The sequence below is a fragment of the Homo sapiens genome, chromosome 20 (genome assembly GCF_000001405.40).
Source record: "Homo sapiens chromosome 20, GRCh38.p14 Primary Assembly".
NCBI lineage: Eukaryota > Metazoa > Chordata > Mammalia > Primates > Hominidae > Homo > Homo sapiens.
The window spans coordinates 63,904,240-63,925,236 of record NC_000020.11 but is presented as its reverse complement, the minus strand read 5'-3'; the positions used below and the strand labels follow the sequence as shown (position 1 = coordinate 63,925,236).

General features: G+C 50.3%; 2 protein-coding genes, 5 non-coding genes and 1 pseudogene across 9 annotated transcripts in view, besides 3 other annotated features; all 8 read right to left on the bottom strand.

Moving 5' to 3' along the window:
* Positions 1-20,997, bottom strand: part of DNAJC5 (DnaJ heat shock protein family (Hsp40) member C5) — a 40,886-nt gene that overhangs the window by 10,775 nt on the left and 9,114 nt on the right. The window contains exon 1 of one of the 3 annotated variants that reach the window (XM_047440511.1): positions 7,519-7,663. The exons of the other annotated variants lie outside the window; for them this stretch is intronic. The gene's annotated coding sequence lies outside the window, so the exon portion shown is untranslated. Of the gene's footprint in view, positions 1-7,518; positions 7,664-20,997 lie in introns of those variants that run through there. 3 annotated transcript variants of the gene reach the window in all.
* Positions 4,781-5,483: an enhancer, noted in NCBI's record as "H3K27ac-H3K4me1 hESC enhancer chr20:62551107-62551809 (GRCh37/hg19 assembly coordinates)". NCBI's record gives its function as "activates a minimal SCP1, AML or CMV promoter by ChIP-STARR-seq in naive H9 embryonic stem cells {active_cell/tissue: H9 hESC(naive)}" and the evidence as "EXISTENCE:reporter gene assay evidence [ECO:0000049][PMID:30033119]".
* LOC124904951 (uncharacterized) lies at positions 4,802-7,478 on the bottom strand. Its single transcript, XM_047440634.1, has one exon. It carries the CDS (start codon positions 5,835-5,837, stop codon positions 4,899-4,901), a length of 939 nt encoding a protein of 312 aa, XP_047296590.1. The 5' UTR covers positions 5,838-7,478; the 3' UTR covers positions 4,802-4,898.
* Positions 5,298-5,369, bottom strand: MIR941-5 (microRNA 941-5). The gene has a single exon (NR_128719.1). It is a non-coding gene; the product is annotated as a microRNA 941-5 (primary transcript).
* On the bottom strand, positions 5,410-5,481 carry MIR941-4 (microRNA 941-4). Its single transcript, NR_040032.3, has one exon. It is a non-coding gene; the product is annotated as a microRNA 941-4 (primary transcript).
* Positions 5,605-5,676, bottom strand: MIR941-3 (microRNA 941-3). Its single transcript, NR_030639.3, has one exon. It is a non-coding gene; the product is annotated as a microRNA 941-3 (primary transcript).
* Positions 5,661-5,732, bottom strand: MIR941-2 (microRNA 941-2). The gene has a single exon (NR_030638.4). It is a non-coding gene; the product is annotated as a microRNA 941-2 (primary transcript).
* MIR941-1 (microRNA 941-1) lies at positions 5,717-5,788 on the bottom strand. The gene has a single exon (NR_030637.3). It is a non-coding gene; the product is annotated as a microRNA 941-1 (primary transcript).
* Positions 12,460-12,960: an enhancer, noted in NCBI's record as "H3K4me1 hESC enhancer chr20:62543630-62544130 (GRCh37/hg19 assembly coordinates)". NCBI's record gives its function as "activates a minimal SCP1, AML or CMV promoter by ChIP-STARR-seq in naive H9 embryonic stem cells {active_cell/tissue: H9 hESC(naive)}" and the evidence as "EXISTENCE:reporter gene assay evidence [ECO:0000049][PMID:30033119]".
* Positions 14,382-14,881: an enhancer, noted in NCBI's record as "H3K4me1 hESC enhancer chr20:62541709-62542208 (GRCh37/hg19 assembly coordinates)". NCBI's record gives its function as "activates a minimal SCP1, AML or CMV promoter by ChIP-STARR-seq in naive H9 embryonic stem cells {active_cell/tissue: H9 hESC(naive)}" and the evidence as "EXISTENCE:reporter gene assay evidence [ECO:0000049][PMID:30033119]".
* Positions 16,118-16,282, bottom strand: RNU1-134P (RNA, U1 small nuclear 134, pseudogene; annotated as a pseudogene).

The window sequence follows — 20,997 nt, the reverse complement described above, 5'->3', positions numbered from 1 at the left end:
TGGGATTACAGGCGTGAGCCACCGTGCCCGGCCTCTTATAATTGGTTTTCTACACTGTCATGCCCACTTTAACCTTTTCTGCATACTCACAAACCCATCAGCAAGCTCTGCAAGCACTCCGCATCCTGAGTCCATAAAAAGCCCCAGACCCAGCCACACAGGCGGACTTTCCTGCCTTCAGGTAGGGGAACCACCCCTGCATCCCCTGGTCCGCTGAAAGCTGTTTCACTGCTCAATAAAGTTCTTCTCCGCCCTCCTCACCCTTCAATGTCCAGTGTATCCTTGATCTTGAGTGCGGTACATGAGCTCGGGAATGGCCGAACACAGTACAAGCTATAACACAGGTGAGTTGGGGCACGCCAGTGTGGCCAAGCAGGGCCCAGGTGGGGCATCACTGGCCAGGGGTCCCCGGCTTGCAAAGTGACCGAGAAGAAAAATCCTAAGTCATCAACTCACTGCAACCTCCGCCTCCCAGGCTCAACCCATTCCCATGCCGCAGGCACGGGACTACAGGCACGCACCACTGCACCCAGCTAATTTTTGTATTTTTAGAGACAGGGTTTTGCCATGTTGTCCAGGCTGGTCACGGACTCCTGGCCTCAGTCAATCCCCCCCTCGGCCTCCCAAAGTGCTGCGATTACAGGCATGAGCCACCGTGCCCGGTTTTTTGTTTTTGTTTTTAAGTTAAATAGGCATGGTGGCTCATGTCTGTGGTCCTAGTGACACAGGAGGTTGAGATAAGAGGATGGCTGAGCCCAGAAGCTCGAGGCTGCAGTGAGCCATGATCGTGCCACCACACTGTAGCCTGGGTGACACAGTGAGACCTTGTTTCAAAAAAAGAAAAAGAAATAACAAGACCTATGAAATCTGTACGTTGAAAACCACAAATTGCTAAGATACTAAAGATAAGAAAAAGATTCCTCATGTTCACGGATTAGAAGCCTCGATATAAAGAAGTCAGTTCTCCCCAAACTGATCTGTAGACTTGACAGAAGCCTAACCCTAATCCAAGAGGATTTTTTTTTGCAGAAACTGATACTGATTTTTTTAAATGTATAAGGAAATGTAGCAGACAGATTAGCCACAGCAACATTAATAAAAAGAACAAAAGTTAGAGAATTTACCCTATTGATTTCAAGACATATACTATATATCTACAGTAATCAAGACCATCTGGTACTGAGGAAAAGACACACACACAACAGCAGAATCGAGTTCAGATAGATTCATACTGAAAGGCACAGAAGGGGAGAAAATATTTACATTATGTACGTATAAAAAACAATTCACAAGTGGAATAAAGAACTCTTACACAAGTCAATTACTAAGGCAAAAAACTCCATTTTTAAAAACGGCCAGGTCGTTCTGGCTCAAGAGCGCAGAATGACTTGGAGGCAGTGAGAGTGTAGGAACGGATGGACTTGGCAGATTTTCTTTTCATTCTTACCATTTCAGGATAGAATCCAAAATCACTCAACACATAAAGCTGAGAAAATGTTAACTCATTCTTTCTTTTCCCCGCCTGACTTTATTGCCCGGGCTGGAGTGCAGTGGTCACATTTCAGCTCACTGCAACCTTGACCTCCTGGGCTCAGCTGATCCCCCCACCTCAGCCTCCTGAGTAGCTGGGACTACAGGTGTGCAATACCACGCCCAGCTATTTTTTAAAATTTTTATAGAGTCAGGATCTTGTTGGTCTCAAACTCCCAGACTCAAGCAATCCGCCTGCTACAGCCTCCCAAAGTGCTGGGATCACAGGTGTGAGCCACCCTACCCAGCCTAATTTTTTTTTTTAGAAACAAGGTTTTTCTCTGTTGCCCAGGCTGGAGTGCAGTGGTGCGATCTTGGCTCACTGCAGCCTTGAAATCCTGGACTCAAGAAAGCCTCCCTTCTCAGCATCCCAAGCAGCTAAGACTACAGGAATGTGCCACCATGCCCAGCTAACTTTAAAATTTTCTATAGAGACACGGTCTGGCTTTGTTGCCCAGGCTGGTCTCAAGTGATCCTCCTGCCTCAGCCTCCCAAAGTGCCAGGATTATAGGTGCAAGCCACTGCTCCTCACCAAAATGTGACTTATTCTTTTTTTTTTCTTTTTTGAGACAGAGTCTCACTCTGTTGCCCAGGCTGGAGTGCAGTGGTGCAATCTCAGCTCACTGCAACCTCCACCTTCCAGGCTCAAGCGATTCTCCTGCCGTAGCCTCCTGAATAGCTGGGACTACAGGCACGTACCACCACGCCTGGCTAATTTTTGTATTTTTAGTAGAGATTGGGTTTTGCCATGTTGGCTAGGCTGGTCTGGAACTCCTGACCTCAGGTGAGCCACCCGCCTCAGCCTCCCAAAGTGCTGGGGATTACAGGCATGAGCCACCATGTCCGGCTAAAACCTAGATTTTTAGAAAGGAATGAAGACCACTGGAAATGGTAAATACCTAGGTAAAACACCATTTTTTGCTTTTTTGTTTGTTTGGAGACAGGGTCTTGCTCTGTCACCCAGGCTGGAATGCAGTGGTGTGATAAGGGATCATGGCAGCCTCAACCTCTCAGACTCAAGTGATCCTCCCAACACAGCCTCCTGAATAGGTGGGACTACAGGCGTGAGCCACCATGCCAGCTAAGTTTTTAGAAATTTTTTGCAGAGACGGGGTCTATGTTGCTCAGGCTGATCTTGAATTCCTTGGCTCAAGTGATCCTCCTGCCTTGGGTCATGGTCACCAAAGTGCCGAGATCACAGGAGCCAACCCTTTCTGATGTCTATTTTTTTTTTTTTTTTGAGACAGAGTCTCACTCTGTCACCCAAACTGGATGGAGTGCAATGGTGCAATCTTGGCTCCATGCACCCTCCACCACCCAGGTTCAAGCGATTCTCCTGCCTCAGCCTGCCAAGTGGCTGGGATTACAGGCGCGCGCCACCACACCCAGCTAATTTTTTTGTATTTTTAGTACAGATGGGCTTCACCATGTTGGCCAGGATAGTCTTGAACTCCTGACCTCAGGTGACCCGCCTGCCTCGGCCTCTCGAAGTGCTGGGATTACAGGCGTGAGCCACCAACCTGGACTGCCTATTTCCTTGGGGTAATGAGTCCGGGAGTTTGCCACCTGATGTTTGAAGTAGCACCTCACAACTTCATTCTTCCTAAACTTGGTTTAAATTTCAAGGGGGCCGGGAGTGGTGGCTCACGCCTGTAATTCCAGCACTTTGGGAGGCTGAGGTGGTTGAATCACCTGAGATCAAGAGTTTGAGACCAGCCTGGCCAACGTGGTGAAACCTCATCTCTACTACAAATACAAAAATTAGCTGGGTGTGACGGTGTGCATCTGTAATCCCAGCTAGTTGGGAGGCTGAGGCAGGAGGATGGCTTGAACCCGGGAGGAGGAGGTTGCAGTGAACTGAAATTGCACCACTGGACGTCAGCCTGGGTGACAGAGTGAGACCCTGTCTCCAAAAAAAAAACTTTCAAGGGGATCCCATGTCAACAGAAAGGTTATAACACAGTTAAAGGAGAGGCCTGGTGTGCAGCCGCAGCTACACGAGCAGCACGTGCTGCAACCTGCTGCAAGTGACGAGCTGCCATCAGCGTTATTCGCAGTCTTCATTTCTGGAGGGCTAAGTTCCAACCTTCAGTCAGAACTCTTTTTTTTTTTTTTTGAGACGGAGTCTCGCTCTGTCTCCCAGGCTGGAGTGCAGTGGCACTATCTCGGCTTGCTGCAAGCTCCGCCTCCCGGGTTCACGCCATTCTTCTGCCTCAGCCTCCTGAGTAGCTGGGACTACAGGCACCCGCCACCACGCCCGGCTAATTTTTTGCAGTTTTAGTAGAGACGGGGTTTCACCGTGTTAGCCAGGATGGTCTTGATCACCACACCTCGTGATCCACCAGCCTCGGCCTCCCAAAGTGCTGGGATTACAGGTGTGAGCCACCAGGCCCGGCCTCAGTCAGAACTCTTTTAGTGACATCATTATCTTTAAAAAGCAAACAAGGTGGCCGGGCACGGTGGCTCAAGCTTGTAATCCCAAAACTTTGGGAGGCTGAGGAGGGCGGATCACCTGAGGTCAGGAGTTTGAGGCCAGCCTGACCAACATGGAGAAACCCCATCTCTACTAAAAATGCAAAATTAGCCGGGCGTGATGGCACATGCCTGTAATCCCACCTACTCAGGAGGCTGAGGTAGAAGAATCACTTGAACCCGGGAGGTGGAGTTTGCAGCGAGCTGAGACCGTGCCGTTGCACTCCAGTCTGCGTAACAATAGTGAAACTCCGTCTCAAAACAAAACAAAATAAAAAAAAGCAAACAAGGCTTTGGGAGGCTGAGGCAGGTGGATTGCTTCTTGTGGCCAGGAGTTCGAGACCAGCCTGACCAACATGGAGAAAACCTGTCTCTACTAAAAATACAAAATTAACTGGGTGTGGTGGCACACACCTGTAATCCCAGCTACTCAGGAGGCTGAGGCAGGAGAATCGCTTGAACCCTCGAGGGGGAGGTTGCAGTGAGCCGAGATCTCACCACTGCACTCCAGCCTGGGTGACAGAGTCAGACTCAGTCTCAAAAATAAATAAATAAATAAAAATTAAAAATTAAAAGCAAACAAAAAGGGTCACGTTTTACAAATCCAGCGTATCCCAGTCCGTTCTGCTGGCAGCAGCCCCAGGGCCCGCACACATGCCTAGGCAGACAAGACCGCACACGTGCAGGGACGCTGAGCTTCTGAAATGGCGGGGACCCGTGTCCTCCCTCCCTACGCCAGGGCAGCCACTCTATGACCTCGGCTCCTTCACAGCCCTGGCTGTAGCCTGAGGCCCCCGCATGGCGGGCATCCCCACCAGACGTTGGCGGACGAGAGCCCTGCTGACGCCAGCCCCTTCCCCCACCACACCCACCACACTTCCCGGTCCGACGCAGGACTACCTGTTCCCGGGCAGACACAGAGCACAGAGTGCCGGGTCCCACGTCAGCCCCTGACGCACCTGCCGTCTCTTCAACACCCTGCCCTGCTCCCTGCTGGCTGGAGAGCCCTCACTCAGACCCCAGAGCCCTGAGCCTGCTCTTGGGAACCTCCCCTGCCACACAGCCGGGTGCGTCCTCTTCCGTGGCGCTGTCCTGTGCGTCCTCTTCCGTGGCGCTGTCCCGGGCCCTGGGCACATGTCCACACAGCCGGGTGCGTCCTCTTCCGTGGCGCTGTCCCGGGCCCTGGGCACATGTCCACACAGCCGGGTGCGTCCTCTTCCGTGGCGCTGTCCCGGGCCCTGGGCACATGTCCACACAGCCGGGTGCATCCTCTTCCGTGGCGCTGTCCCGGGCCCTGGGCACATGTGCACACAGCCGGGTGCGTCCTCTTCCGTGGCGCTGTCCCGGGCCCTGGGCACATGTGCACACAGCCGGGTGCGTCCTCTTCCATGGCGCTGTCCCGGGCCCTGGGCACATGTGCACACAGCCGGGTGCGTCCTCTTCCGTGGCGCTGTCCCGGGCCCTGGGCACATGTGCACACAGCCGGGTGCGTCCTCTTCCGTGGCGCTGTCCTGTGCGTCCTCTTCCGTGGCGCTGTCCCGGGCCCTGGGCACATGTCCACACAGCCGGGTGCGTCCTCTTCCGTGGCGCTGTCCCGGGCCCTGGGCACATGTGCACACAGCCGGGTGCGTCCTCTTCCGTGGCGCTGTCCCGGGCCCTGGGCACATGTGCACACAGCCGGGTGCGTCCTCTTCCGTGGCGCTGTCCCGGGCCCTGGGCACATGTGCACACAGCCGGGTGCGTCCTCTTCCGTGGCGCTGTCCCGGGCCCTGGGCACATGTCCACACAGCCGGGTGTGTCCTCTTCCGTGGCGCTGTCCTGGGCCCTGGGCACATGTCCACACAGCCGGGTGCGTCCTCTCCCCGGACACGTCGGTGCCATCACAGCTCAGCATTCATTTGCTCAACAGTTACGATGCATCGATCACATGCCTCGCTCTGTTCTCAGAGCTGGGGACTCAGTGGTAACAAAATAAACCAAACAGGCAAAAATCTCCGCCTGCGGCAGCTTGCAGTTTAGCAGGTCCCTGCTCCTCAGAATGCAGCAGCTTGCAGTCTAGCAGGTCCATGCTCCTCAGAAGACTTAAAGATCTTCAGGGGTAAAAAAATAAAATAAAATACGTGTGTTCTTATTTCTGTACTTCCAGGTGCAATCTCAGTGTGTGCAGCAAACGTTTTATAAAAGAGCTGCTGCTGAACTCAAACTACTGTTGGGGAAAAACTGTGGCCAACTTTGTAAGAACAGATATGAAAACATCTTAAAAGGAAGTCTATTTTTGTTCTGTTTTAAATATTTTACTATGTATTATGTGAAATACAGAAAGAAATATATGGAACATATCAGCCGGGCGTGGTGGCTCACGCCTGTAATCCCAGCACTTTGGGAGGCCAAGGCGGGCGGGTCACAAGGTCAGGAGATCGAGACCATCCTGGCTAACACAGTGAAACCCCGTCTCTACAAAAATACAAAAACATTAGCCAGGCATGGTGGTGGGCGCCTGTAGTCCCAGCTACTCGGGAGGCTGAGGCGGAGAATGGTGTAAACCTGGGAGGTAGAGCTTGCCGTGAGCCGAGATCGCGCCACTGCACTCCAGCATGGGTGACAGAGCGAGACTCCGTCTCAAAAAAACAACAAAAAATATATGGAACATATAAATTATGACGCATAAACACCATGATCCCGTCTCTAATTTAAAAACTGGAAAATTATCAATAACTTGGAAGTTTCATTTTCCCCATATATACCTTAAATTCAATGCTATTCTCTTGCTTCTAAAAAATTACCTCATGTTTATCCCTAAACGCTAATTAGTTTTAATTTTTTGAGCTTAAAAATACGGCCTAGCACTGGATTTACTTTTCTGTAATCTGCTTTTTTTTTCCTTTGAGACAGGGTCTTGCTATGTTGCCCAGGCTGGCCTCAAACTCCCAGGCTGAAGTGATCTCCCACCTTCAGGCTCTGAGTAGCTGGGACTATAGGCACACAGCATCGTGCCTGGCTTGATCTGCTTCTGAAACGCCTACGTTCCTAAGATTCGTCTACACTGCAGATTGTAGCTACAATTCATTCATCTCCAGTGTGGTCACATTCTATTCTGTGAATAGACCACAACTGATCCATCCACTCTTGCACCGAAGGACATCTGGGCTGTTCTCAGCTTCTGTTACCACCAAGTTGCTTGGAACATTCCTGAGCAGCAGGCGCGGTGGGTGGCGAAGGGCGGACAGCGTGAAGCTGATGCAGCTACCGTGAGCAGCACAGACACTGGCAGGAGGAGTGGGCGACCGTCACAGCAACAAGCAACTGAGGCGTGAGAAGACAGGCAGTGCCCCCACTCCCTGGGAAATGCAAATTAAACCACAGAGCACTACTAGGTACACACCTATCAAAACTGCTTAAAAAATAATCCCAGAACTTTGGGAGGCCAAGGTGGGCAGATGGCTTGAGGTCAGGAGTTCAAGACCAGCCTGGTCAACATGGTGAAACCCTGTCTCTGCCAAAAAATACAAAAATTACCTCGGTGTGATGGCGCATGCCTGTAGTCCCAGCTACTCAGGAGGCTGAGGCAGGAAAATCGCTTGAATCCGGGAGGCAGAGGTTGCAGTGAGCCGAGATCGCGCCACTGCACTCCAGCCTGGGCGACAGAGCAAGACTCCATCTCAAAAAAAAATAATAATAATAAGGCTGGATGCAGTGGCTCATGCCTATAATCCCAGAACTTTGAGAGGCCAAGGTGGGCATGTCACTTGAGCTCAGGAGTTTGAGACCAGCCTGGACAACACAGCGAAACCCCATCTCTACAGAAAATACAAAAGTTCTGCATTTTTTGTATTGCACCTGCAGTCCCAGTTACTCGAGAGGCTGAGGCAAGAGAATCGCTTGAACCCAGGAGGCGGCGGCTGCAGTGAGCCAAGATCACACCATGTATTCCAGCCTGGGCAACAGAGTGAGACTCCATCTCGAAAAAAAGAAAAAAGCTAATTTTAAAAAAGTAATAGAAGCCAGGTGTTGTGGGAAGTCAGGGACCCTGAACAGATGGACCGGCTGGAGCTGTGGCAAAGGAACATAAATTGTGAAGATTTCATGGACATTTACCAGTTTCCAAATAATACTTTGATAATTTCTTAAGCCTGTCTTACTTTAATCTCTTAATCCTGTTATCTTCATAAACTGAGGATGTACATCACCTCAGGGCCACTATAATTGTGTTAACTGTACAAACTGTAAAACGTGCGTTTGAACAATATGAAATCAGTACACCTTGAAAAAGAACAGAATAATCGTGATTTTCAGGGAACAAGGGAAGACAACCATAAGGTCTGACTGCCTGTGTGGTCAGGCAAAATACAGCCATATTTTTCTTCTTGCAGAGAGCCTATAAGCGGACGTGCAAGTAGGGAAGATATCACTAAATTCTTTTCCTAGCAAGAATTAATACTCTGGGAAAGGAATGCATTCCTGGGGGGAGGTCTACAGAAGGCTGCTCTGGGAGTGCCTGTCTTATGTGGTTGAGATAAGGACTGAAATACGCCCTGGTCTCCTGCAGTACCCTCAGGCTTACTAGGATTGGGAAACCCCACCCTGGTAAATTTTTGGTCAGACTGGTTCTCTGCTCTGGAACCCTGTTTTCTGTTGTTTAAGATGTTTATCAAGACAATACATGCACCGCTGAACACAGACCCTTATCAGGAGTTCCACTTTTGCCCTTTGCCTTGTGATCTTTGTTCTCCTTTTTGCCCTTTGAAGCATGTGATCTTGTGACCTACTCCCTGTTCTTGCACCCCCTCCCCTTCTGAAATCCTTAATAAAACTTGCTTGTTTTGTGGCTCAGGCGGGCATCGCGGCCCTACCGATATGTGATGTCACCCGGGGGGCCCAGCTGTAAAATTCCTCTCTTTGTACTCTTTCTCTTTATTTCTCAGCTGGCCGACACTTATGGAAAATAGAAAGAACCTACATTGAAATATTGGGGGCGGGTTCCCCCGATAACCAGGCATGATGGCTCATGCCCGGAATCCTAGCACTTTTGGAGGCTGAGGAATGCAGATTGCTTGAGGCCAGGAGTTTGAGACCAGCCTGACCAACACGGCAAAACCCCATCTCTACTAAAAATACAAAAATTAGCCAGGCATAATTAGCCAGGCATGGTGGTGCACGCCTGTAATCCCAGCTACTTGGGAGGCTGAGGCAGGAAAATCGCTTGAACCCAGGAGGCAGAGGTTGCAGTGAGCCGAGATCGCACCACTGCCCTCCAGTCTGAGTGACAAAGCGAGACTCTGCCTCAAAATATTAATAATAATGACATGGGTTTGTATTTTATGTTCTGTGATTTCCTTTACTAGCTAGTCACTTTTGTTGTAGTTTACAAAAATATCATCAGTCTGTGACACTGGAAATTTTAAAAACTTAAACCTTGTCCTTCAGCACAAACAGTCGAGGAAGAATTCTTCTGGTGTATACCTAAGAGTGGAACTTCTGGGTGCCCAAGAATGGGCAGGCTCAGCCTGAGGCGGTGTGCCAACTGCTCTCTGAGGACTGCACCAGTGGCCACTGGAACTTAGGGCTCCCTGCCATTCCTGCAGCCTCAACAATGACTGGTACGGCCAGGCTCCCCAGTGCTTGCCTGGCCTGATAAGGGTAGGCGTCTCCAGCCTACCTTCAAGGCCGTTCTGTCTGTGGTGCCCAGTGGACATATCCAGGACACCGACCCTTCACTGGTTAAAAATGTTACAAGTATCTTCCAGTTCACAGTTCTTTTTTTACTTATTATGGTGTGTCTTTTGATGAGCACAAGCTTTTTTTTTTTTTTTTACCAATTGTAGTAAAAAACATATAACATTAAATTCAGCATCTGAACCGTTTAAATGCCCCAGTGTTCACTACACGCCCGTCGCTGAACAACAGCCCTCCTCCAAGTCACCTTTGAGGTCACAGAATATATTACAGCTTTCTGAATCTCTCAATCTGTTTTTCCCCTTTTTTGTTCAAGAAATCCTTCCTGACCCTAAGGTCCTATTCTATCTTCTGACACTTGTCACCCACAGGAATCTGCTTCATCAGGAGTTGGCCTGGGCTTGGCAAGAGATACGGACCAGCTCCTATCTGCCTGAGGCCCACCCAGTGCCCCAGGTCCCAGGAGCATCCATGGAGCAGCCCGTCTCTCCCTGGGACCCACAGGTGCCTCTGGCTTACTGCAAACCTCCACGCAGGAGGCCTATCAGGGGCTCTCCATTTTGCTCCATTTTGAGCGTTCTTTATTTAAAAACCTCTGAAATTATCTGAGGCCATTTCCAAAACTTTTACAAAAGCTACACACTCTGGCCGGGCGTGGTGGTTCACACCTGTAATCCCAACATTTTGGTAGGCCGAGGAGGGCAGATCACCTGAGGTCAGGAGTTTGAGACCAGCCTGGGCAACACAGTGAAACCCCATCTCTGCTAAAAATACAGAAATTAGCAGGGCGTGGTGGCAGGTGCCTGTAATCCCAGCTACTCAGCAGGCTGAAGCAGAAGAATCGTTTGAACTAGGGAGGTGGAGGCTGCAGTGAGCCAAGATCACGCCACCACACTCCAGCCTGGGCGACAGAGCGAGACTCCATCTACCAAAAAAAAAAAAAAAGGCCGGGCACGGTGGTTCATGCCTGTAATCCCAGCACTTTGGGAGGCCGAGGCGGGTGGATCACGAGGTCAGGAGATCGAGACCATCCTGGGTAACGTCGTGAAACCCCGTCTCTACAAAAAATACCAAAAAAAATTAGCCAGGTATGGTGGTAGGCGCCTGTAGTCCCAGCGACTCGGAAGACTGAGGCGGGAGAATCGCGTGAACCCAGGAGGGGGAGCTTGCAGTGAGCGGAGATCGCGCCACTACACTCCAGCCTGGGCAACAGAGCAAGACTCCGTCTCAAAAAAGCTAAAAATTCTTTGGCATTTCTAACCACATCATAGATAATAGTACTTAAAATAATATTTCAACATAAGCATTCCATTATGAAGCCCAGAAGGGTTTTAACAACAATTACAAGGTAAACCCTGTGGGTCACAGCACCTCCACGGTTCTGAGTTCTGGGCTGTAAGGACTGAAGTCTGGGCGCCACTTTCACCAAGAGACAGAAGCAGGCGTCAGGGCTGCTCTAAGGTACTCGGCCAACGGTGAGCGTCCCGGCTTCTCACTACTGCCTCGCTCTCTCCCCAGCCTCCTGTGGTCCCCCCAAGATGGTGGCTGGGCAGGTGGCCTCAAGAGACACTGCCTGAGGGGTGGGAGGATGGAGTGCTCAGAGAGAGACATTCCAGGCCACAAAGATCACACATCCTGCAATGGACGGTCTGAATATACAGATGCTAAGAAGGTGGCTGTTAGGGCCTGGCGCGGTGGCTCACGCCTGCAATCCCAGCACTTTGGGAGGCCAAGGTGGGCGGATCCCCTGAGGTCAGGAGTTTGAGACCAGGTGGTCAACATGGTGAAACCCTATCTGTACTAAAAATACAAAATTAGCTGGGCGTGGTCGTAGGTGCCCGCAATCCCTACTGTAAGCTACTTGGGAGGCTGAGGCAGGAGAATCACTTGAACCCAGGAGGTGGAGGTTGCAGTGAGCCAAGATGGCACCACTGCACTCCAGCTTGGGCAACAAAGAGACCCTGTCTCAACAATAAATAAAAAATAAAAATACAAAAATCAGCCAGGTATGGTAGTGCACGCCTATAGTCCCAGCTACTCAGAAGACTGAGGCGGGAGAATCACTTGAACCCAGGAGGCAGAGGCTGCAGTGAGCTGAGACCGCACCACTGCACTCCAGCCTGGGCAACAGAGCGAGACTCTGTCTCACTAAAAAAAAAAAAAGAAAGAAAAAAAACAGGCTGTTAGGAACCCTGGACCCTGGGGCAAGGGGAACAACTCTAGAAAGAACAGATGACGTCTGAGGAGAAGCGGGAGGAGAGGGAAGGAGACAACAGGTGCTGCGGACTGCAGGGAGTGGGGCAAAGACAAGTCACCTAAGGAAACAAAGGAAACACGGAGGAACTACCAAGAGCGACAGTCACACTGGGATGGGGAAGACACAGCAGGGGCTGGGTCAGCAAACGGGCATGACACAGCACAGGGAACTGCAAAGAAGGCACCAGCAAACACCTCTGGGAGAGACAGTGCAGACAGGGAGATGGAGACGGGGCAGGGAACTACCTCTTTGCTCTAGATGCCCTTGGCTCATTCTATACAAAAAAAAAAAATTGCTAAAAATACAAATACGAAAAATAAAATACAACTGGCATTTCTTTTATCCTGCTGGGGAATCTTAATTTAAAATCTGTGATGAACCATGTAAAAACTGACTGCCGGCCGGGCACGGTGGCCAAACCTGTCATCCCAGCACTTTGGGAGGCCAAGGTGGCCAGATCACGAGGTCAGGAGATCAAGACCATCCTGGCCAACATGGTGAAACCCCGTCTCAACTAAAAAATACAAAAATTAGCTGGACGTGGTGGCAGGCGCCTGTAGTCCCAGCTACTCGTGAGGCTGAGTCACAAGAATCGCTTGAACCCGGGAGTTGGAGGTTGCAGTGAGCTGAGATCACGCCACTGCACTCCAGCCTGCAGCCTGGGCGACAGAGCGAGACTCCGTCTCAAAAACAAACAAACAAAAACCTGACTGCCAAAGGATACTCAGACAGGTAGGTCAGGCAAGGGAAGGACTGACAATCAGAGCATGCTAGGGACAGGGACTTGGAACACAGTTAAAAGGGTAAAAGCCCCACAGTTTGAATGTGTATTTCTGGATTTTTATTTGGAATAGATATTATCTATTCCAAAAAAAACCCAATTAACTCTGTAAATACATTTGAAGAAATTATAAACAAGAGTCAACAAAGCAAGCTAGAGAAAAGACGCTGTGTGCCACATCACAGGTGTCCCTCACCTTTACTCTTTTTTTTTTTTTTTTGGAGACCGATTCTCACTCTGTCGCCCACGCTGGAGTGCAGTAGTGCACTTTCAGCTCACTGCAACCTCCGCCTCCCGGGTTCAAGCGATTCTCCTGCCTCAGCTTCCCGAGTAGCTGGGATCACAGGCATCTGCCGCCATGCCCAGATAATTTTTGTATTGTTAGCAGAGATGAGGTTTTGCTATATTGGCCAGGTTGGACTCAAACTCCCGGCCTCAAGTGATCCGCCCACCTCAGCCTCCCAAAGTGATGGGATTACAGATATGAGCCAGTGTGCTAGGCCTTTCCTCCTAACTTAAAATGAATTTCAAATGTAAAGACTTTCCAGCCGGCCATGGCAGTTCATGCCTGTAATCCCAACACTTTGGAAGGCTGAGGTGGGGAGACTGCTTGAACCTAGAAGTTTGATCATTCTGGGCAACATGGTGAAACCCCATCTCTATTAAAAAAAAAAATACAAAAACTCGCCAGGCGTGATGGTGCACACCTGTGGTCCCAGTTACTCAGGTGGTTGGGATGGGAGGATCACTCGAGCCCAGGAGGTCAAGGCTGCAGGGAGCCGAGATCGCGCCACCGCACTCCAGCCTGATTGACAGAGCAAGACCCTGTCTCAAAAAAAAAAAAGAATTCCTAAAGTCCCTGGAAACACAGAAATCCCCAAAAGATTTCAGCTTTCCTCCTTAATTCTAAGAATAAAAAGCAACAGTGATGCTGAGCTTAACGCAACACGAGAACAGCAAGAGAAAATAAAACTGCTTCCACGACCATCACCAAGCATCCAAGTACGAGAGGAAGTGAATCTGAGCTGGAGCCATGGCAGCGCCCGGCCGAGCCAGGGAGGAGCAGACAGGCAGGGCAGCTGGCCCTTTTCACACAGTAACAAGCCCCATGCTCGCTCACACACAGAGTGCCACAGAAAACGAACGCCTGCCCTCGTGAGTCACAAAGTTAATGTCAAGAAGCAACAAGACCAGCGGCCACACCTGAGGAAGGATCAACTGCCTCAACCCATAGCTGCCACCCTGCCCAGAACCACGGTTTCCTGAAACTATAAAACCATTCCAAAGGTATGATTAGCTACAGAGAAACAAAACCAAACCCCACATGCTGAAGCCCTTTTAATTCACAGACTCATCTACTGCCCCAGGTCCTAATAGAGCATTCAGTGAATGTTTGCTGCATTAATTTTATTGGTATTGACTTGGGTCTGGAAACCTAATAAAGATTTTTTTTCTTGTAAACTGATGCTTAGAATACAGTAATTCAAAAAGAAAAGCAGATCAGAAGTTGAACAAAATAACTCCAGATATACATTTGAATACAAAGAATTGAACAGGCCGGGCATGGTGGCTCAGGCCTATAATCCCAGTACTTTGGGAGGCCAAGGCAGGCGGATCATGAGGTCAGGAGATAGACCAGCCTGGCCAACATGGTGAACCCCCGTCTCTACTAAAAATACAAAAATTAGCCGGGTGTGGTGGCGGGCACCTGTAGTCCCAGCTACTTGGGAGGCTGAGGCAGGAGAATCGCTTGAACCTGGGAGGCAGAGGTTGCACTGAGCCGAGATCATACCATGGCACTCCAGCCTGGGCGACAGAGTCAGACTCTGTCTCAATTAAAAAAAAAAAAAAACATTCTCAAAACCCTATTACTTGGAGAGCAGGTTATCCAACACGACACTCATGCCCTCCTGGGCATCGGGCACCCAGGTACCTCGGGCCTCGCCCTCCCAGTCCCAAGCGCACATCACTTTTTTTTTTCGAGAGGGAGTCTCGCTCTGTTGCCCAGGCTGGAGTGCAGTGGCGCGATCTCCACTCACTGCAAGCTCTGCCTCCCAGGTTCACGCCATTCTCCTGCCTCAGCCTCCCGAGTAGCTGGGACTACAGGCACTCGCAACCATGCCCAGCTAATTTTTGTATTTTTAGTAGAGATGGGGTTTCACCGTGTTAGCCAGGATGGTCTCCATCTCCTGACCTTGTGATCTGCCCACCCCCGCCTCCCAAAGTGCTGGGACCACAGGCGTGAGCCACCGCGCCCGGCCAGCGCACATCACTTTCGATGGTGCAAACAGCAGACAAAAAGTCCAGGTGACACCAATGAGGCCACAGGTTATGACACCTGGGTAGCGACTATTCAATCAAGGTTTGAACCTCTCCATACAAAGGGGGCCTAGAACAAGCAAGCACCCCCAGGAACAGAACGAGTCTGAAGACACGAGTGGTCTTCCGTTACCGCAGCACTGCTGGTCAAATCACTCAGGTCTGTGCAACACTAGAGAAGAAAGCTCCTAAAGCAGAATCGTTACTACAACCAAAAATATTCCAGAAAACCTTAACACAGTCCCAAATATGAAAGACAAGTGTTCTTCATAAGATCAGTAACCACGAGGTCATGCTGCTTGCTGGTCTTCTACCCTCACAATACTAAATCCGCAGGATTCTGGTCTGGTGCACGCCCTGGCCCAGGCGGGCCTCTGCTGCCCCCCGCAGGCTCTCCTGAGGATCCCCAGCCAGATGAGTCTGGACATACTTCCTATCACGGAAGAAAAGGCATAAAACCAGCAATCGATTCAGTAGAAATCTACTCTCACGGGGAAGACTTTTTTCTTTCTTTTTCTTTCTTTGAGACGGAGTCTTGCTCTGTCGCCCAGGCTGGAGTGCAGTGGCACAATCTCGGCTCACTGCAGCCTCTGCCTCCCAGGCTCAAGTGATTCTCCTGCCTCAGCCTCCAGAGTAGCTGGGACTACGGCACGCATCACTGCTCCCGGCTAATTTTTTGTTGTTGTTCTTGTTGTTGTTTTTGAGACGGAATCTCGCTCTGTCGCCCAGGCTGCAGTGCAGTGGCGCCATCTCGGCTCACTGCAAGCTCCGCCTCCCTGGTTCACGCCATTCTCCTGCCTCAGCCTCCCGAGTAGCTGGGACTACAGGCGCCCGCCACCACGCCCGGCTAATTTTTTTTTTTTTATTTTTAGTAGAGACGGGGTTTCACTGTGTTAGCCAGGATGTATCGATCTCCTGACCTTGGGATCCGCCCGCCTCGGCCTCCCAATTTTCACCATGTTGGCCAGGCTGGTCTCAAACTCCTGACCTCAGGTGATCCACCCACCTCGGCTTCCCAAAGTGCTGGGATGACAGGCGTGAGCCACCACGCCCGACTGATTTTTGTATTTTTATTTTTTTGGGCGGGGGGGACAGTGTGAACACAGTCCCTCCACTACCACAAATTACGCAGTCAAGTTTCCCACATTTGGGGAAAACGCAGGGCTCAGCACATCCGGAGTGCAATGGCTAAGCCTTGCCCTGGGAAAACCACCTTCGCGATCATGGTATCTCCCCTGCCGGGTAAGTATGATTTTTGTATTTTTAATAGAGATGGGGGGGTTTCACCATGTTGGCCAGGCTGGTCTCGAACTCCAGACTTCAAGTGATCCGCCTGCCTCAGCCTCCCAAAGTGCTTGAATTACAGGCCTGAGCCACTGCGCCTAGCCTCTTTTCTTTTCTTTTTGAGATGGGGTCTCACTCTGTCACCCAGGCTGGGGTGCAATGGTGGGACCACAGCTCCCTATAGCCTGGAAATCCTGAGCTGAAGCTCTCCTCCCACTTCAAGCAGCTGGGACCACAGGCACGTGCCTGCACTGTGCCAGGCTAGAACTTTATCTGGATATAATAATCACAACATTCAAATCCTCAACTTCACATAACACAAATTCATAAAAATACCTATGACCACAATCCTACTTGCAGTATCATATCTACTTAGTGACCTTTGCCCTGTTCATTCCGTGACCAATCAAACGGCACACCCACCCTGGCTGCGGCTCCACCCCACTGTACAGTGGACTGACAGGATGCTTCCACTGAGCAGACCACAGAGCAGAAGCTCAAGACACAGAGAGTGGATCCGCCACAGTTCATAAAATGCTACAGATGGCATCTGGGTATTTCCAGCACTTCCAGCGGGAACCCGCTCTGAAACGTTAACTGATGGAAACGGCCCTGACTTTCCCACACTCACCCCCTGGCCTAGGACTGCTCTTAGAGAAATTCACCCTGGGGTGATGGCTGGCCACCACCTCCCATGCGTGGGGCTGTCCCTGGTGAAGCACATACATAGGGTTTCAGAGTGCCTCTGCAACTATGACGAAAGTCAAATCATTCCAGTGAGTCTAGTATGCAACCAAGTATAAGGTGCACCAATTTAACCCTAACAAGCCAACCGTAAAACATGCGAAATTTCAGGGCCAGGCGCAGTGGCTCACGCCTGTAATCCCAGCACTTCGGGAGGCCAAGGTGGGGGGATCACGAGCTCAGGAGTTCGAGACTAGCCTCGCCAACCTGGTGAAACCCCGACTCTACTAAAAATACAAAAATTAGCCAGGCGTGATGGTGCACATGCCCGTAGGCCCAGCTACTGGGGAAGCTGAGACAGGAGAATCACTTGAAGCCGGGAGGCAGAGGATGCAATGAGCCGAGATCGCGCCACTGCACTCCAGCCTGTCGACAGAGCGAGACTCCGTCTCAAAACAAACAAAAAACCCCTAAATTTCAGAGGTAGTTAAGTAGTAAAACACATGCATTCACCTCAAAATTGAGACAGTATGATCTGACAAAACTTGTGATATCTGCTTTGAGTTTTATCTACACAGCAGCTGCAGCTTAGGAAACACTTACCACGTGCCTGCCATCTACTGAACAGAGCCCTTCCTAAGAGGCCTGTGAGACGGGCCTGGTCAGGGGGTGGGAGGGTAGCTCTGGGGTCACCTGTCTGAGCTGCCATTGACAGGGACTCAGTGGCCAGGCAAGTTACTCAACACCTCCCCATGTCGATCTCCTCTTTGTCGAATGGGCATTAAACAGTCCAGCAAGGTATGTCTGGGAGCTGGCTTGAATAAAGCGGTCAGACCCTATGCCAGGCACACAGTTAATGTTAGCTATTATGATGATGATCTGTGCTTTTCGGCTAAGAAGACTGAGACTCAGGAAGGTGGAGTAACCTATTTGCAGTCACCGTGCTAAGGATCAGCAGGGCTGTAACTGAAATCAAAGTCAGCCTCCCAAGCACCGTACATCGTAACTGATTCTCAGCATCCATTTCACAAAAGGCAGTAATTCTTCTCTGTCCTGATCACAAATAACTTATTTTCTTGTACATCAAGCCTTTTCTGAATAAGGTACTATATGGACCACTGTCATTTATTTTATTTTATTTTATTTTAGAGACAGAGTCTCACTATATCACCCAGGTAGGAGTGCAGTGGCTCAATCACACCTCACGGCAGCCTTGACCTCCTGGACTCCTGCAACCCTCCGAAGTAGTTGGGACTACAGGTGTGCAACCACCACACTTGGATAATTTTTTATTTTTTGTAGAGGCAGGATCTCCCTAAGTTGCCCAGGCTAGGCAAACTCCTGAGCTCAAGTGATCCTCCCACCTTAGACTCCCAATGTGCTGGGATTACAGGTGCGAGCGATGGCACCCAGGCCACTGTCATATTTTAATTAATTAATTAATTTTTTTTGAGACAGAGTCTCGATCACTCACCCAGGCTGGAGTGCAGTGGCGCGATCTCGGCTCACTGCAAGCTCCACCTCCCAGGTTCACGCCATTCTCCTGCCTCAGCCTCCCGAGTAGCTGGGACTATATACAGGCGCCCACCATCACACCCGGCTTTTTTTGTATTTTTAGTAGAGACGGGGTTTCATCGTGTTAGCCAGGATGGTCTCGATCTCCTGACCTCATGATCTGCCCGTCTCGGCCTCCCAAAATGCTGGGATTACAGGCGTGAGCCAGCGTGCTCGGCTATTAATTTATTTATTAAGACAGAGTCTTTCTATTGCTCAAGCTGGAGTGCAGTGGAGCAATGTCGGCTCACTGCAACCTCCGCCTTCTGGGTTTAAGCAATTGTCCTGCCTCAGCCTCCTGAGTAGCTGGAATTACAGGTGCCTGCACCACACCTGGCTAATTTTCATATTTTTAGTAGAGATGGAAGGGGTTTCGCCATGTTGGCCAGGCTGGTCTCAAACTCCTGACCCCAAGTGATCCACCCGTCTTGGCCTCCCGAAGTGGTGGGATTACAGGTGTGAGCCACCGTGCCTGGCCCCATATTTTTAAATAAAAGTAAAATAAGTACATATATAGACAAAGTTTACAAAGCTTAATACATGTTTTATTGGCTATATTTTAATTAATTCTCAGCTTGAAGACACATTAATTATTGTCGCGTAGAATTTTAGATGTAAAAAGTATTTTCCTTAATTAAAAAAAAAATCCTGGGCCGGGCATAGTGGCTCACGCCTGTAATCCCAGCACTTTGGGAGGCTGAGGCGGATCACCTGAGGTCAGTGAGTTCAAGACCAGCCTGGCCAACATGGTGAAACCCCGTCTCTACTAAAAATATAAAAATTAGCCAGGTGAGGTGGCACGTGCCTGTAATCCCAGCTACTCGGGAGGCTGAGGCAGGAGAATCGCTTGAACCCAGGAGGCGGAGGTTGCAGTGAGCCAAGATGGTGCCATTGCACTCCAGTCTGGGTGACAGAGCAAGACTTTGTCTCCAGAAAAAAAAAAAAATTAGCTGGGCAGGGTGGCACGCCCCTATAATCCCAGCTACTCGGGAGGCTGAGGCAGGAGAATTGCTTGAACCCAGGAGGCGGAGGTTGCAGTGAGAGCTGAGATCACATCATTGCACTCCAGCCTGGGTGACAAGAGCCAGACTCCGTGAAAAAAAAAAAAAAAAAATCTGCCATGTGCGGTCATGTGTGGTGGCTCACACCTGTAACCTGAGGTGGGAGGATCACTCGAGCCCAGAGGTGAAGGCTGCAGTGACTGCACCACTGTAAACCAGCCTGGGCAAGAGTGTGAGACCTTGTCTCTTAAAACAAAAAAATCCAGCCCCGGGTGTGGTGGCTCACACCTGCAATCCCAGTACTTTGGAAGGCTGAGGTGGGTCAATCACTTGAGGTCAGGAGGTCGAGATCGGCCTGGCCAACATGGTGAAACCCCATCTCTAGTAAAAATACAAAAATTAGCCGGGCATGGTGGTGCACACCTGCAGTTCCAGCTACTCAGGAGGCTGAGGCAGGAGAGTCACTTGAACCCGGGAAGCAGAGGTTGCAGTGAGCCGAGATCGTGCCATGGCACTCCAGCCTGGGCGACAAGAGCGAGACCCCATCACATACACAAAAGACAGGAAAAAAAAAAAAAAGCCAGGCACGGTGGCTCACCCTATAATCCTGACACTTTGGGAGGCCGAGGCAGGCGGATCACCTGATGTCAGGAGTTCGAGACCAGCCTGGCCAACATGGTGAAACCCCCGTCTAGACTAAAAATACAAAAATTAGCCGGGCGTGGTGGCGGGCACCTGTAATCCCAGCTACTCTGGAGGCTGAGGCAGGAGAATCGCTTGAACCCGAGAGGCAGAGGTTGCAGTGAGCCGAGATCGCGCCGTTGCACTCCAGCCTGGGGTACAACAGCGAGACTTTGTCTCAAGAAAAACAAAAACAAACAAAAAAACCCCCACAGTTTATTAATCTGCCTTATTGTCCTTTGCCTTTTAAAAATATAAGATAAGCCTGTTTAAGGCTTTACTGGGAGGCAGCTGTCAGTCAGCCAGCTGTTCTGGAGTCAGTCCAGGGCAAAGGCTGCTGTAGGAACAGCATTAGCACAACTTTGCCTATTTATCCTTAACCAGAGCAGGTTTACAAGGATGCCTATACCATGAACACCTGCACGCATCTCAGTCCGCCCACCTGGAGGTCAGACACACTAAGAGGCAGCTGGACCAGCTCCCTGTTCAAGGCCACTTCAGATTCTATGTGAGTTACAGTGCCCTTGTCTTAAAGTATTTTCATAAATGTGAATTAAGCAGTGCTCACACCAGGGAGAAGGATGCTGTGAGTCTGTCTGTTGGTCTGCTGGTGACAATCAGTTAGGGTTACCCAACCTGGCGGGATGATGCAAGAGAAAACAGCACCAACAGAAACCACATCGTAAGAGGTAATTTTGGGGAAAAAAGGGTAATTTTGTAAATCCTGTGTTGTCACTTTAACATGTATGATGACATTATTT